General features: G+C 40.7%; 1 long non-coding RNA gene across 1 annotated transcript; it reads right to left on the reverse strand.

Moving 5' to 3' along the window:
- Positions 1 to 10,073: 10,073 nt before the first annotated feature.
- On the reverse strand, positions 10,074 to 13,257 carry LOC101927709 (uncharacterized). Its single transcript, NR_110272.1, has 3 exons — positions 12,872 to 13,257; positions 12,621 to 12,697; positions 10,074 to 10,777 (listed from the first exon to the last, which is right to left on the reverse strand). It is a non-coding gene; the product is annotated as an uncharacterized LOC101927709 (long non-coding RNA).
- Positions 13,258 to 18,453: the final 5,196 nt, after the last annotated feature.

Below are 18,453 nucleotides of genomic sequence, written 5' to 3' on the forward strand. Positions count from 1 at the left end.
TCCAGATATTGGAGTTATCAGGTAAAGACTTTTAAATAATCATGCTTTTTATGTTCAAAAAGATAAAAGGCATAATTGAGAATTTTATTAGAGAAATAAAAATATTCCTTTGGAATACTGTGAAAACTGCTTTTCATGTGCCGGAAGTGACCCCCTCTCCCTACCCCATCCCCCACCAGGTTCCGGCTGATCACAGTCATTGCTCCAGGTGAAGCATAGGTGGCCCATCAGCTCTCTGAGCAGCTTCTTTAACTACTCAATCTGGCTTACAGCCTGCTCTCTGGAATCACAGAGCACTTAAAGATGGTATTGTGATCATCCTCCTCTTGTTTGTTTTCTCAGATGAACTGCATGCAATTTGAAGGTGGGGAGATGCTCCCATGCATTGCATCTTATGCGCTAGTGCATAATATAATGCCTGGTATATGTAACAATTAGGAAACTGGTTTTCAACTTAATGCTGAAAATGTTAAAAGCTAGAAGGCTGCCGAAATTCAGTGAGGAGGAGAAACGATGAGTGCAAAGAGAGATCGTTTGCAATTCCAGGAAAAGAACAGAAATATCTGAGGTTCATTTTCATCAACTGCAGGTTATGGTAAGTCTGCATCAATGCAGGATCTACCTGATTTAAAAGGCCTAGGAAATAATCGTGGATGTGCCTGATGAGTTAGTCACAAGGATGCTAACCTCATTATGATTTTGAATATAAGTATTTACTGAATGTAATACTATTTGACTAATTGCATAATCATTATGTGTTGTTATATAATATAATGATAACTGATTTGATTGATTAATACATAAAATATTTTAAATATTTTCATTAATTAACATTGAAAATGATTTAAACATCTTACACTAGCAGATAGGTTAAATAAATCAAACTGTGTTAATACAGTAGAATAGTATGTACATGCAGTCATTAAAAATGATTATATAACTGTATTTATTGATGTCTGAATATTTTCAGAATGAATAATAAAGAATAAAAACCAATATATTGAAATTTGTAAAATAGTACACATAAGTAAAATATAAAGTAGTAAATTAAAAGGGAAAGATACATAGCTTTATGATAGGATTATAGGTGATTGAATTCTTTTCCTTAACATCTGTATTTTCTGAATGTGTTCAATAGACACAAGAGTTTTGCAAAAAGAAAGAATTACAACTTTAAAAAGTTTCAGGGTCAGTGCCTACCGTATCTTCCTGTCTACTTTACTGGGTTATTGCAAGACTCAGGTAAGATATATGTGCATGAAAGCACTTTGCAAACAAATTTTAAAAATGTTTTTTGAAGCATTGTTATTAACATTATAAATATGACAAATAATACTTTTGGTGACTTGGTCTCAGGGAAAACAAATCCTGTAATATAAAGGTGAATGTGCGGCAAGAGCTTGTTGGATTCCTAATGCAGAGCTAAGAAGAAAAATGTAGCCACAGAATAATTGCCAGCTTCTGCTCCCTGAGCCTGCCATCTTGTACCAGTGGCTTGGGCAGCAGCCACACACATGCTCCCAGCCAATCTGCAGAGAGAACCTTTTGTGATTCTGTAGACGCCGCTCTTCTGTCACGCTGACTTCATCTTCAAAGGCCAATCCCTTGGATTTGCTCAAAGATGCATCACTTTAAAAACCTGAGCCCGCTTTACACAGCAGCCTCTCTTCCCTGGATAGGCTGATCCATGGCTCATTTACGCCAGGGGAAATTTACGCATCTCTTCTCACCAGCTCACTTCAGCCCTTGCTAATTCCCTAATCATATTGAATTATTTGGAGTTTACTATGTCATCCCTGGTCACCTACAGATTCCCTCACTTCATTACTCCTTGGCAAAACTGTCTTAGGAGGGCTCCCGTGACAGATTTATATTCTGAGCAACAGACAGGAATGTGTTTCTCTGCTTTTCCTTTGCCTATACCACATAAACATGTCCAGGGACGCTCCTGAGCAGGAGCTGCGGATCAGACCTTGATCACAGAGGGGCTCTCATAGAGGAATCTTCTGAAAGAGGAGGTTGAGGCCACTTACCTCAGTGAGTTTTCCATGGAAATGTGAATGCCCACCCAGGGCCTCATTCTAGAGAGGTGTGTTTAAACTTCAATGTGCCTTTGATTACCAAAATATCTCATTGTCTTGTATAAACATCTATTAGTTAAATACATCTATTGGAGTCACTGATATCTAAAAGAAGCTATTTCAACCTTTAGATTTCAAACAGTACCTTTAGATATGTGCCCACACCCTTTAGCTAGATTTATCACATGGAGAATAGTAATCATTGATTAGTAGTTTAGGAGAAATACATGTACGTTGAAAGTTTCCTAGCACATCCTTATAAAATTATTAAGGCTACTAAGGTTGTATGTGGTTACTATTTTGTTGTTGTTGTTCCATAGAAAACTCCCTCTTCTTAATTATAAAGAGTATTATTGATGTTGATGTTCTTGCTGCTGTTGTTTCACTCCACCAAAGCTTGGAATAAGACAAGGTCTTCACCTTGAGGAGTTATAGTCTACTAAGAAATATGGCTATATGAATAAATATGTTATAACATTCCATGACACACATGCCATAGAATTCTAAAGCATTATGGAACCACAGAGAAAGCAGTAACTAAAGTTACAAACAGTGACTAAAATACCAGCAAGACTTCTACCTGGATAGAAAATACTTGTAACAAATCTTAAAGTGTAAGCAGAGTTAGCCCAAATAAGGAGAGAGAGAAGGCAGCCCCAGAAAGAGGAATCATCACAAGAAAATGCATGAAGGAGTCAAGGGGCAGAATGTTTCTTGAGAAATGTTGAGACATTCCGCTCATTAAGGACAACAGACAGTCAATAGTAGTTTTTGCAAAATAGAGGGATGGGACCAAATTCCTTTTCTAGGTCAATAGCTCTGGCATTTGTGTGAAGGTTGCACTGTAGTTAACACGGAGACTGGTGGAAGGAAGAACATTTAGGAAGTGGTTGCAGGAGAGTGAAAATAAGGACCTAAATTAAGGCCAAACAGTGGGAATGAAGAAGAGAGCTGGATTCAAGCCAAGCTTAGAAGACACACTAGGCAGGACTTGGGGCTAATTAGAAGCAGAGGAAAGGGGAAAAGGGGCCTAAGATGGCTTAAATAATGAGTAGATCGAACAGGAGGGGCACATTCATTGGCCACTCATTCTGTCCCAGTCACTATAACTGGACTCAAGAATTCAGGAGAAAGAGACAGCTTGGAGTTTATGTAGTGTGTAAAATTACAGTTATGCTAACTTGGAAATGCCTCATACAGGTAGTCCTTCTTTGCATGGTAGCACAGGGTTATACAGGTGACTGGAAAGCTGAAATCATGCAAAACAATCTAAGTAATCAATGGGGAAAAATTACATTTGTTTCACGACCTTTAAACATTTTTATCAAAACATTAAAAACTCTTTACTGTCAGCTATAACTGTATAGAAAAATGAAAAGAAGTTGTATAAGTAACATTTACTTAATACACTGTAATTTGTACACTTGAAGCATTAATTAAAGTGCTTTCATTTCATTGTAAAAATAAAATCCTATTGAGAGTGCTTGCCTTCTTCTAGTGAAATAATTTGATACAGGGGATCATCTTTTCTGAGCCTTGGTGAATTTTCCGATTTCTTTAAGTTTGGATCAGTGTCCAACACTTTATCCTTTGTGCCTTCCATGTTGTGAAATATCTCAGAGCATTCCTTAAATGTGAAGCTCTTTGCTTATGTCACTTCCTCTGGGACATCTTTATCCTTTTTGTAACAGCCACTTTCCTCATGTATGATGTAAGTCTTCACTAAGTTCCTCTGGTTGCACTTTTACAGTCTCTTGCAAAGTCTCAGTGTCCACATCCCAATGATCAACTATTTTTTTTTCTTTAATCCCATTTACATTTAACTAAAATTTCATTTCCAGTATTATCACATTTTGGTTTTTTCCTGCACTTTCATCTTTCTTGGCCGATTTCCTCTTTTGATTATTTATTTTTATCAAATATCGTGTAAGTTTATCATTGGAAAACAAGGAGGTTACACAATTACATGCTTTGCTGTCTGTGCAGTGATGAAACCCCTTAGACTTTGAAAGAAATGGTATGCATTTCTAATCATGGTCATATCTGCTTTTCACATAATAATTTGTGGAATGATGAAGTAACAATGACGCTTGTATTTTATGCAATCAGTCACAGCCAATATGTCATAGGAACTAAAATTTGAATTATGTTATTGAATCATGTTATCATGTTATAGGGATTGGTATTATTTAACTAAATTGTGGTAACCAAAACCTATGTATGTTGGAGCCATGCAAAGAGAATTGCCAAGAGTTACCCAGATAACACAGGAGTGGTTAGGCCTTTGGGAGAAATGAAAAGTTTTAAGAAGTATGAATTCATCATCAGCATCAACTACTGACCAAGGAGGTCAAGGGAATGAGTCTGGAAATATTTTCTTGTTTTGGCCATTGGTCATTGGTCATATAGACAATCTTAGTGGTCAAGTTATGAGGCAACAATCTAATTGAAATAGGTTAAATAGAAAGTCACTGAGAAATTTAATAATATTTTATAATAAAAATAATCAACCCTTTTAAAGACATTTTTCAATAAATAAAGGAGGGAGTTAAGATATCAGGATTAAAGGAAGATATTTAACTTTGGAGGTTAAGAACTTTTGTTTTCTAAATGTGCAGGTATGATTCTAAGAGATTTAGTCAACAACTTCCTGAAATTCAGATGTACCTTATCTATAATTGTTCTCATTTATATAAATTCCTATGAGTTTAGTCATTTTAATCAACAAAAAGAAATGAGACCTGGCCTGGCATTTTTTTCTCACCCTCACCATGGATCCCCTTCCTCAGAACTCTTAGGTTCTTATTTTGCCAACAGAAAGGTCAGCATTGACCAAGAAGGGGGTCATTGTTTTAATTAACTTGATACTTGAACATAACAATAGCATTCTGCCTGTTTTGAGATAATTCTAGGTGAGTCATTAAGACACTTTTCTAGAATCTGGTAACCTGGAATACCAGAAATCAATTAAAATGAATGCAAAGGTCTCAGTGACGACAAAATAGACACCATCAAACCAGAAATAATATGAGATGAAAAATTTATTTACCCTGGACCACTGTTCAATTCCCATTCTCATCACCTCAAATGAGTGATGAGTTTAAAAGGAACACTCAAAGTCTTTAAAATTTACATATCAACTCTACCACTTAGTAACTGCAAAATTCTAGATAAATTATTGAATATCCCTCATCCGTAAAGTTGCATACCAGTATCTACCTTGTGGAGTTGAGATGAGAATTAGGTGACATTACATAAGAAAAGTCTTGATTATTGTATTGTATTATCTTGGAAGTTAAACAAAAAAATGTCACTTCCCTTCCCACCGATAAGAATGACAAAATAGAGATTTGAGCCCAGTTCTCAATGCATGCATTAGGATGACAGACCCACATGGAAATGTCACTGGAAGATCAATGGTTTTAATGCCATTAAAGTTGAAACACATTGCACATGCCCAGATTGTTTCCATAAAATATCTTCACAATAGGTTCCACAACAAAACTGGTACAGTCGTCTTATTTTTGTTTGTTTTTCCTCACCTTTAGAGAGTATTCCATCAAGTTCACTTCTGCACACCAGGATTCCAAGGATTTCCTCATCCAGCTGCTCTCCAATGACATCAGGGCAGCACCGTGCATGGGCACAATCGTGCCCCTAATCTGTTCAGAGGCTCTCCATAGTTGCAACCTTACTCTGTCCTCACCATAACTACATGACATATTTGCTCACTTATCATCTCCCCACCATCCACTCCATCAAAGATATGCTCATGCAAGTAGGGACTTTGCAGTGTTCTCTGCTGTACCACAAGGTATGTGGGTGGAATCAATAATGGAATGAGAAACTCTGTAAATAACACAGAACTCTTGTAATGTCTTCCCCATTTGAGAAATCAAAGCAGAGAGGATTCATGAATTGCCTAAAGCCTAGACTTGACTCACCTGGCTCCTGTTCTAGCGCTTTTCAAAGCTTTAGACTCTCCTCTACCTGAATAAGGTATTGGGTAGGGCACAATGTGTCAACACCTCCATGCAAGGCCACCAGCTGGAACAAACATAGCCTGCTATGTGGGTGCTGCCTTTAGGCTGGAGACCACATCAGGGCTGCTTTGGAGGCTTGTGCCACCCCTAGTGATCACCTTTACCAAGAATGTGCTGGAAGCTAGGGGTGGTTTCTCCTGCCATGGAGGGGAAAGCCAAAGGCTCAGGATGAAGCGTGGAGAGACTAAATTTCCAAAGGCATAATGGGTGTCTTCTCTACACCCCCTCCGCACCACTATGAAGTATTGCAACTGGCCCTGTCAGCTTGGTATTTGAAAAAAATGGGTCAGGCAATGGGACTGAATCAATCATAGCAATTTGAAATGTCACTTTGTTCTCCTATCGTGTTTTAATTTCTTCCATGTTACAACAGATCTTCTCTCCATGCCCAGACTCAATTGAATCCCTCTTTTTGTATTGTTGAAGAAGCTTGGAATAAGATTTCAGGTGCACTAGTATTTGGACAACTCCCAAAAGCCATCTTTCTGCTCCCCTCAACTCCCCAGCAGTCTCTGCCTCTCTTGCCCATCACCAGAAAAGGCTTTGGAGTTGTTACCAGTTTGCAAAACATCTGCTTTTACTATTTGGCATAGTGTGGTGTTGGGGTGACAAGGGATTTGATTGGCCTCCCAGGACTTATTATATTTGATACATTGTGTGTCAGACTGGGGACCCTTCCCCTCGGTTGTTCCTATGCTCTGTATAACCCTGTGGTTGGTTTGTTGTCAGCTTTCTTTTTCCAGGGCCCAATTCTAGGGCTAACTGTCCTTTTTCTGCCAGAGCCTCCTGGTCTCACACTCTTTGCCTCTTAATAAATATGAGAAGCTGCCAGCTTCTTTGTTCTTGGTCCTCTTCTGGGCTTGAGTGGAAGAAGTTGTCCATAAAAGAAACTTCTGATTTACAGACCTTCTCCCCACGCGCAATCGGGGCCAAAATTCCTCAGCACCGTGGCCACATGTGTGCTTGGCTGGCCAGATGTCCATCCAGACAGCAGGGGTGGTGGCTCTGGGATGCAGCAAAACCAGCCACTCTGTGGCCTGGAATGCCCTTCTGCTTTCCCGCCAGCCATCTGTGTCTAAGACGTCCAAATGTTCCTACCCAGCCCAATACTCAACTCATCCAGGAGGCCATGCTAGCCCTCACAATTTCCTCCATCAAATCTAATCACCATGCACATCACTCATCTGGCTCCTGCCTAACTGTCTCCTACATCTCTGGCTAATCTTTTCCATGGTACACAGAAAGGGCCAGCCAGGGCCTTGGAGTTAGTCACACCTGGGTCCAAACCCCCATTGTACCTTGTATCAATTTAATAGGACTGCCATAAAAAAGTGCCACAAACTGGGAGGCATAAACAATAGATATTTATTTTCTCATAGTTCTGGAGGCTAGATGTCCGAGATCAAGGTGTTGGCAAGGGTGGCTTCATCCTGGTCTCTCTCTCCTTGCCTTGTAGCTGGCTCCCTTCTCCATATGCCTTCATACGGTCAACCCTCTGTATGTGTGTGGGTCCAACCTCTTCTTTTTGTAAGAACACCAGTCATACTGGATTAGGACCTACCTTACAACCTCATTTTAACATAACGATCTCTATAAAGGCCCTGTACATTCTAAGGTACTGGGGATTCGGACTTCAACAGGTGAATTTTGCGGGAGGACAAATTCAGTCCATGATATACCTTTAGTTAGAGCAGGGGTTTATAACCTGAGGTTAACTTTACCTCATCTATAAAATAGAGTTAAAAATCATTCCTAGGATTATAAATATTAAACAAAATACTGTAGGTCAAGAATCTGACACTGAATAAAATTCTAGAAGCCTATTTTTTTTCCCACTGTCCCGATACCGCCTTGACTCCCCGACCCCACAGCAGGGGCTGTGCATCCTCATGTCAACCAACCAATAGATATTTGTTTCCTGATTTCAGTGAAGACAAATTGAGTAGCCTATTGATATCTGAGTGCCTCCCTCTGCTCCTAATGAAACATAAAAGATGAGGTAACACCGTGCAAGGAAGGCAGGGAGCAGAGTGACTATGGGAGCCAACGCTGGATGGAGTCAGCCTTCAGGCAAGTCGCTAAAGCTCCCTCTGCCTCCATTTCTCCTCCATGGAAGAAAGTTAAGAGTAATGCACAGCAGCAGAATTGTTGCATGGATTACATGAGAAAACTGTCATGTGGCTGGCAGAGTCCTCCATGAATATGGCTGTTACTACTGTTGCTGTCAGGATGTGTTCAGCATTGTCCACAAAGATGGGACAAATGTATTATCTCACATATTTGTGACTTTTTTCTAGCAAGAACATTTAAATCTACTCTCAAAGATTTTCAAAATACAACACATTGTCATTCATGTTAGTCGCCATGTTGTATAACAGACTTCTTGAAGTCATTCCTCATATCCAGCTGAAGTTGTTTCTTTAAATCTATCCCTACTTCACACTGGGACCTGCAAATGTGAGGCATGTTCATACTGATACTACTGATGTAGTAGCACCATTAAATGGGCCTTTTTATCATTAAATGGGCCAACCAAACAAGGGACTTGGATAATGCTTTTGCCCTACAGTCAGGGTGCTGAAGGCCAGCCGACCTTGGGTGAAATTGACTACTATCTACGCATCATCATATAAAGCCTCCTCTATGCTGCTTCTCTTATGTCCAAGCATAGCCTAATAGCCCTACCCTCAGCCTCTCCTTTGGATTGAAGTCACTAAGGCCTTTGTGAAGTTTCAGTAACTGGCCTGGAACAAAGGGGAGTCTTTCAGCTATTAACTTAGCTCTAGCTGAGAGCAGGACCTGAGCAATGGCATTCAGGATGAGTAAATTTCAGAGAGAGGAAAATTGGAGTGCACCTACAAGTTAGGGAGTCCCCAAACCCACCCTTACCTTTGACATCAACTTCAAGTTCTGAGGTTCCCAAGACTTTGATCATTCACTAGAAGGACCCACAGAATTAACTGAAAACTGTACACTTAAAATTACAGTTGATATGCTGAAAGAATACAAATTAGAGTCAGCCAAGGGAAGAACACATGGGACAGAGTCCAGGAGAGTTCCACATGGCTTCTCTCCCAGTGAAGCCATGAACAGCCAGGCTACTCCTGAGAACTGTGTAACAATACACACCAAATGCTACCAACTGGGGAAGTGCACCTGTGTCTTAGTGTCCAGAGTTTTTATTGGGGTTTGGTCGTGAAGATATGGTTGATTATGTGACCATCAGGTACTGACCTTTAGTCTCCAGCCTTTCTGGATGTCAAGTTGATACTACATAGCCCAAAGTCCCCACTTTGGCCAAGACTCTCTTGTGGAAAAATAATCACATCTGTTTTAGTGTCTGCATTTGTTATAGCATTTATATCACAGATATAGGAGTCGTGTCAGTATGAACACACCTAATATTTGGAGGCAGGCCTCAGTGTGAAGTAGGGATAGATTTAAAGAAACAACTTTAGCTAGGTAGAAGGAATGACTTCAAAAGGTCTGTTATACAATATGCTGACTATCATTAATGACAATGTATTGTATTTTGAAAATCTCTGAGCATGCATTTTTTTTTTTTTTAAGCAGAGTTTTCACTCTTGTTGCCCAGGCTGGAGTGCAATGGCGTGATTTCAGCTCATTGCAACTTCCGCCTCCCAGATTCAAGCAATTCTCCTGCCTCAGCCTCCCAAGTAGTTGGGATTACAGGCATGCACCACCACGCCTGGCTAATTTTTTGTATTTAGTAGAGATGGGGTTTTACCATGTTGGTCAGGCTGGTCTTGAACTCCTGACCTCAGGTGATCCACCTGCCTCAGCCTCCCAAATTGCTGGGATTATAGGCATGAGCCACCTCGCCTGGCCAAGAGTAGACAAAAACGTCATACTATGTGAGATAACACATATGTTAATTAATGCAATTGAGCCATTCCACAATGTATACATATTTCAAAACATCATGTTGTTCACAACAAATATATAAAATTTTTATTTTCAATTAAAATTAAATTTTAAAAAAGAAACAACTTATCTATCTAGAAAGTCATTACATACATTTTCATATTTTTGTCCTGATATGATGACTTGTTCTACTACCATCTATATCTCATGATACACTTGTGCAGAACTATTGTTTTGTTTTCGTTTTAGAGACAGGATCTCTGTTGCCCAGGCTGGAGTGCAGTGGTGTGATCACAGCTCACTGTAGCCTTGATCTCCCGAGCTCAAGCTCAAGTGATCCTCTCTCCTCAGCCTCCTAAGTAGCTGGAAGTACAGGTGCACACCACCATACCTGACTAATTTTATTTTTCAGCTTTTAGTTTTTGTAGAGACAGGATCTCATTATATTGCCCAGGCTGGTCTCTCAAACTCCTGGGTTCAAGTGATCCTCCCACATCAGCCTCCCAAAATGCTGAGATTACAGGTGTGAGCCACCGTACCTGGCCAGAACTATTTAACATAGCAATTAGATGACGATTAATGAAATCTAGTGTTTCCTCAGGCCAGTCATTTTCCATCAGTATTATATCCTGAGGAGGCTTTCACTTAGCTTCTTGATATATTTGATCATCAACAGCAGTACCGTCATTAGACTTATTCACATAAGGGGACGAATCTTACCCATGATGCCAGTGCTACACCGTATCGCAGTATGGTTGCAGATGTAACCTGAAAAGTAAGTCAAAAGATACAGGCATATTACTAAAATCTCACTCAGTCATTATCAATTTGGTCCAGGTCACAATCATATTATACGACCAAAATGTCTCCCAGAGCAATGCCACCCACTCAGGTTTGCAGGTTTCCATTCAACCTTGTCAGGTTCCCAAAAGCAGGAGTGGTCTTTGCAACACATGGCTTCATCCTTTCAGGCATTTGCATGAAGCTAAAAGTCAATATCATCTTTATCAAGGCACCATTGTAATATTGGAATTCCCTTGTTGCATAACCCATCTATTCATTCATTTACCCTCAGCTACGATTCTTCCTTCTATCCATTTATCATTGTTTTTCGTTTTGTTTGGTTTTGTTTTGTTTAAAAAAAAAATAGGATGGGGTCTCTCTGAGACTTGCCCAGGCTAGTCTCAAACTCCTGAGTTCAAGAGATCCTGCCACTTCAGCCTCTCAAAGTGCTGGGATTACAGGCATGAGCCACTGCACCCAGCCTATCATTGGTTTTTATCCAAACTTTTCTACCTTTGGAAGGGCTGTTAGTTTTAGCACTGTTCTGATACACACTGCTGATAGCAATACTGGTCTAGCAGGTGCTTCTCTCTCAGTTCACTTCTGTTTAATAGGGTGAGTTTACACACATACAGAACTAGTGGGCTATCTTGACCGCTAGGTAATAATATATCTGCATTCATCATCAAGACCAATTTTGCCACATGGGCTGAAGGCACAGTCTACCCCATCAGGCGCTTGGGAATTCTGACATAAAAGTTCAAAAGTACGGTTACAGTTTCCTGCTTAGGGATTATCCCTGCTCTTGCATCCAGTTGCAGCTCTGGTTCTGTGGTCACTGAATCAGGTAGAAAGAAGTGTTAAAGTCATGCAGGGAAAAGAAAGTTGCAGTGATGTGAAGAAGAATTGTATGGTCATATTAGCATTGTCCTCCAACCCCTCTTCCTGGATGGCACCCCAGAAATGGTCTCTGCCAATGAGAGAGCTGACACACAGTAAATACAGAATAACCACTCCTTTCTCGTTCCCCTGTTGCTGAGGTCTTAGCTGATGATAGCAAAGATGCACCATTTGCCAGGAGTGTGTTTGTGCTAATCAGATGTTGGCCTCAACATTTGTCTTTCTATAGTTATCCCATAAGGCAGGCAAAGGCCTTCACCCCCATGGGAAGGAGAATGTCCAAGGGCAGGAAGTGGGGGGTTCTCATTCACCAGGGCAAGAAGCAATTCCTTAGGGAGAAAATGGAGCCTGAGTAGGGAAGAGATTCAGCCTCCTTTGATGTGCATTTTGAGTGGTCTAACTAGAGAGTTCCTAGGAGGTGAGGCTTAAGGATAGTGCAGCAGACAGAATAGCAGCCTCCCAAAGAAGTCCATGTTCTAATTCCTGAAACCTGTGTATCTGTGACCTTTTATGGCAAAAGGAACTTTGAAGATGTGATTCAGTTAAGGATCTTGAGATGGGAAATCATCCTGATGAGCCCATTTAATCAAAAGAGCCCTTTTAAGGGAAAGAAAGAGGCAGGAAAGTCAGAGTCTGAGAAGAAGATGTAACAAAGGAAGCAGAGCTCAGGGACAGAGGTTTGAAGATGCTGCACTGCTGTCTGTGAGGGTGGAGGAAGGCGCCACAAGCCAAGGAGTGCTGGCAGCCTACAGTAGCCAGCAAAGGCAGGGAAACTGGTTCTCCCTTAGAGACTCCAGGAGGAACACAGCCCTGCTGATCCCTTGATTTTAGGACTTCTAACCCCCAAACTATAAGACAATAAACTTGTATTGTTTTAAACCACCACGTTTGTCAGTAATGTGCTACAGCAGGAACAAGAAACTCATACCAACAACATCAGCTGAGGAAGTCAGGAAGCAAGCTCCCCTGAATGACTATTTTCTGCTTTCTGTGGTCCCACAGGGTCTGTAAATAAAGAAAGCAAGACCAATTTTAGGACTGCTTAACCTGGAATCCATAGCCCATAGAAAAGATTTGAGGAATCCTCATAAGCCATGAAATTGTAAAATTTTACATGGCCAGTTTTGGTGAGAGATGGTCCAGGAATCCATGACTCCTGAAAGGTTAAGAACTACTCACCTTAACAAAGAGAAAAATCCAAGCCAAAAAAGAGCCCCACAGTCAATACGGAGAAGTGATGTCAGGAGCCAGATGAAAGAGAATATGGAATCTCTACACTCCAGGAGAAAGGTGAGGGGAAGATCTGGGTGGCTGTGAAAGCCTCAGGCTGGTGACCAGGCTGAGCATGATGGCAAAGGTGGCCTGTTCCTCTTTGGGGGTTGAGGATATGATCCTGGTTTAACGGAGATGCATAAACAAAAGTAAACAGAAATTCAGCTTCAGTCATCCTGAAAAAGGAGAATTTGCTTAATGCGCCCCACTATGCAGAATAATAGACACCCCAGCATTTGTAGGAAACATAGAGAAGTGGTTTATGGTCTTTCGTTCACCTTTCACTCTTTTCCTATCCCAAGTCAAGTCTCTGGGCTGGATCCAGGGAGGCAGAACATTTGTGCTGAGAAGTCATCCCAAGGAAGCCCTGTCAGCCATGGTTTCCCTAATCCCATTAAGACCATACCTTCAGGGATGTGGGCCAGCTCAGAGTCAGTGTAGAGCAAGTTACTGCTGTTAAAAACGGAGGCTCCCAAAAAGTTCCTGGCCATGAAAAGAAGGTCTTTTTCTTTGCCCATTAACTGCTAAATTATCATTTCATGACCTAAGAGTAAACAAACCAAAACCACATGTCCCTTTGTAATTCAAATGAATAGAGTATTCCAGATTAGAGAAAATCATACCTGAAGACAGAGCGATCTAAAATCCAGGGTGAAAAACTTCTAGTAATACCTGGTGGATCCCAGGATTCAGTGGAAAGGTCACTTTACCCGGTGTCTCTGTCTAGCACATAACCAGGCAATCTTGAAAAAGATGAAGATGGGTCACCCAGGGAAGTGACCACATTAGAATCTTCTAGTATAGCGATCTCAGGACTCCCAGGAGTGTGTGTGTTGAGGGCAGAGGGGAGAGGGGCAAGTGCCACTGGCATTGTTTAACCTATGCCACTTGAGCAGTTGTTAATGCATGACCCTGACTCTATGGTTGTGTTAAACACATTCACAAAATGTTACTCAGCATGATTCTAAAATAAAGAAAAGTGAAGTATGTGTGAGTGAAGGGAGTGGGGGAAAAATGACGTCAAATATGTGAGAGGGGAGTGCGTGTCTCGGCTGCAGGAGTAAAATGTGTTTTCTCCATTAAAAAAATAGTTTTTCCATAAAGTCACAAAAATGTTAGCTTGGAAATCTTGTCTGATGGACTCATTTAATGGGTTGGTGAGGACTCCTAAGTGCAAAGAGAAGAAGGGCTCTCTTAGGTCCATCAAGGGAAGGCGTTAATAGCCCAGCACTGGCTTTCTAACCCCAGGGCATTTGCACTGGCTGTTCTTGCTACCTTGACTGCTCTTCTGCAGCTATCCTCATACCCCATTCTCTTATTTTATTCAGGTCTCGGCTCACAGGTGCACCTATCAGAAAGACCCTCCCTGACCACCCCCTCTAACACACACACAAGGGCAGTGAACAGTGTCTCACAGGCAGTAGGCACTCAATTCATGTCTGCTGAAAGTTATTGACTGACCAGCTAATGATGCTTCACTGCAGCGCCTTTCCAGGATACATGACAGTTGGAAACTCTAGCATCTTAACTTGACATCACCATGTGACAATATCTGCAAGACATCAAGATGGGAAGACACTGGCCTATATTCAAGGCCTATGTATCTAGTTGGTGATACAAGCATTGCAGACAGGAAACCAAGTTAACACAGCCTTACCCACTACATAAGCAAGATTCTGTAGGGGTGATAGAAGACAATGCAATTATGGGATAGTTGGTACAGTTGGAAAATTCTGAAAGTTCAGAGAGAGAGAACAATGTGTGAGACAGGCAGGCTGGTTGATTCCCTGTTTTAAAATAATCTGGAGGAAAAGGATCAAAGTCCCTCACTCAAGCTCTAGCTTTTATCTAACTCTCAGCTAATCAGTAATGAGAGACCCAAGAAGCTGTTAAATGCAAGCTCCTATTTCAGGCAGCTAGAGACTTCCCTGGAACGCCACACACCAGTTAGACTTCAACTCTAACCTAAAGTTACCTCTTCCTCATTTTAACGCTAAAATTCGCACCCAGGGCTGGAGATTTACAATGCTAATGCTACACCCAATGTATGAAGCAGCATGTTGAGCCACTGCACAAGCGTTAGAAAACTTTCTTCTACACATGCCCTGATGTAATTTTTTTCCTATTAAGAGACCCCATAAAACGAACCCCCCCACAGAGTACCCTCGGGGAGCAGTCCACTCCTTTTTCCTCTCTCAATGCTAGCTCCCTTGTGCACAAGCTGGGATAAACTTAAACTGACCTTTGCTGCTATGTTTGGTGATATCTCTTGATTTCTAATCTGGGAGATTGCCAGAACCCCAGGCACCAGTAACATGTGGACCAGAAGAGTCCTTCCCATGTGAGCTAAGCTTTGACAGAAAAAAAAGAAAAAAACACACACTAGTCACATGGGACCTAACCCAGGGTAAGTTATGGGCCAGGCAGGCACCTGCTCAGGGCACCCATTTATAAAGAACTCTAAACAGTCACTGGAATAAGTTGGAAGTATGGTGCCAGCTAATTTGTAATTCTTTAAACATGGCAAAATTTCCATTGGTTTCCACTCTTTTCTGTGGCTAAAAAAGCCCTGTTTTTCATTTGAACATGTAACAGGAAAATAATTATTTATAGTCTCTCTCCACTTTCTATGACACTTAGAAAATTTTTTTTCTCATTCAGTCAGTTAATAAGTATTTATTAACTGTCTTTTCTACACTCCAGGACATTTTTCTAGATCCTGGAATTACACCTTGAACAAGAGAGCTAGAGCTTCACCTTGAGGGGTATGTTCTCACCGCCAGTGGTTCACAAGGAGCAGAGTCCACTGAAGGCTTTAGTGGGTATTTCTGTGAGCATCGTTCCCAAGAATCTACCCTTGGCCTTGGGGGACTTGAGAGTTTTGCATTTGGATCTATGCATATTACACTTTAGTTAAATGTTTATATAAAAAATAGATTATAAGGAAAAAAATGTTAATGCTCCTTAATTGTCCCCAAAAAGGGTTAGGGTGCAGACATCCCAGGGTGTGCTCAAGGTGACAACAGTCTATTTAAAAAGACATTTGCTAGAGGTTGGCATTAGGGGAAGCTGGGAAGGTTATATACGAGCTCTTTGTACTATGTTTGCAACTTTGCTATAAATCTAAAATCGTTTATTTTTTTAAAACATTTGCTAAAAAACGTATATGGAAAAATGCAATTGCAGATGAATTGCCTTGCCCAATTAAAATACATCCTCTTTAAGTACTTTATTAGCACTTATTCATTCAATTATTTAACATTTAAACAACAAATGTTCTGCTTATAAACATTCCATCTAAATAGAGCCACACCATCGGAATGTGGGAAGAAAATGTTAGAACTATTTGTGTTTATTTTTTTCCCAAACATATTCTTTTGTGTGTGTGTGTTTCATGATGTACATAACATCTTAGTATAGTAGTTCAAATATATCATTTATATACAAATAAATATACACATTAGAAGGATACACTCCCAAACTTTCTGGTAGAAGTACTTAATCAAAATAATCAGGAGACCACTGAAAATGTTATTAATGCATAGCATCCCAAATATTTGTCTGCTATCTTTCCACTTGTCCATAAGGGAAGGAATCCCGGTTTTTCATAGGACTACGCACGTAGTAAGTATTGGGTTGTATTTATGGAATGCCTGTACTCTGTATCCTCCTGGCTACCTTTGTGTTTTGAGAGCAAAGGAAGTGCAGTCAACCTGGGGATCAAGTACAGAAACTAACTCATCCCAGGTATTTAAAAAGCCCATCTCCTCTTTTATAATCACTTTCTATTGCCTTTTATTTTTCCTTTTTAAAATTTTAATTGCCATGGTTTGTATGTGTTTTCTGCTTTAAGCTGCCTCAAATCCTTTTTTGGAGGAGACAGAGCATAAATCATAAATAGTTATAGGAACATTCTATGAAAAAGCACTAGCTAAATGACTGGAAAGGATAAAGGCAATTGCAAGAGGATTGCTCAACCTATTTAGCAGAAGTGGTCCTTTTAAGCACTTTATAAGCAAGCAATTACATTTTAACAATTAATGTTCTAATTACTAACATTCTATTCACATAAAGCCAATTCCTTTTGGCAATGATTTGTAGCCTAATACATAACCATTTATGTTTGAACTGAATGCAACAGCAGGCTTTTGCAAAAACACTGACAGTGTGCACTACAGTATAAGACAGCATGTGCCTTTGCAAGACCCAAAACACTGCCCTGCTCAGGGTGGGTGCTGGACAAATATGCAAACGATAGACTCTGAGAAGGAAAGGGCTCTTTATAGATAATTTATTCAGAACGCCACATTTTGTAAGTCAGGAAACATAGACACATAGAGAGGAAGAATCCCACCTAAAATTATCCAATAAATGAATGACAAAATTTGATCTAAAACCTGGGTTTTCACCTCCTTGTGTAGTGCTCTTGTAACATCAAACTCTCTTTCAGTCATTGAATTGGATTTAATTTAATTTAACCCTTTTGGTAGTTCTCACTGTCTGTCAAGGTAATTAATTACCAAATTACTACAGCTTTAGAGGGATTATGATGATTTCACCTTTGCTCATTATTCTGGGGCAGGACGTCCTGTCCATGTGAAGGAAGTGCCCATTCTCTATTTTTGCCCAGTTTCTGACAGCTCCCTGACATTTGAAATGGGTAGAAGTTACAAAAATCTTACCCCCATCATGGGAAACTCTGTGGCCAAATGTTGTAAAGAACCAAACTGAGCATCATCCTGGAAGCCAACTTCTTCATCCAATTGTCTATGAAGAAATCAACAGCTACTGTTTTTCTGAGACCCATCATGCTATTGCTGCTCCTCCCTGCCCACCACCAAGACACACTCTATGATGAGAAAGCCCAGGTGACAACTGTTAATAATGCAACAATGGGCCTTTGCCTCATCAAGGGTGGCTCCAGGAAAAATAATTACAAGCAGGGATGCTCTCCAAAACCCACAGATGGCTCCACCAGTTCTTTCCCCAGAGTTAAAGACAGACCTGACAAACACTATCAGCCTCAAGGATATCAAAAGTGGAGAGAACAGGAGAAAAGGGAGGAAGATGAAGACATCGCTAGCTGGACCAAAAGAGACTTGGAGGCAGTGAGCGGCAGGAGGGGGGACTCTTGAGGGAAACAACATCACATCTGACATCATCCACACAGGGCAAGCCGAGAAACAGCTGAGCTAGCAAAACAAGCTCCCAGAAGGCTCTAGAGACAGTCCGGCCGCACAAAATAATCCTGCAATAATCGTTCTGCAGCACAGGCAATTCCAGCAAAGCAGAGGCAGGATCCCAGTCAAATAAAATATTACTTAAAACAAAGCAAAGCTGTATGGAGACATTTACTCTCATTCTTTGGCCTGGATGGGTCCTACCCTCATCCAAATGATCTCAGAATAATTAACAATAGTCGGCCAAGAGAGGGAGACCTGAGTTCTGAGCCTACCACTACGACTCATCTAAATGCCAGGCACTCATTC

The sequence above is a fragment of the Homo sapiens genome, chromosome 2 (assembly GCF_000001405.40).
Source record: "Homo sapiens chromosome 2, GRCh38.p14 Primary Assembly".
Classification (NCBI taxonomy): domain Eukaryota; kingdom Metazoa; phylum Chordata; class Mammalia; order Primates; family Hominidae; genus Homo; species Homo sapiens.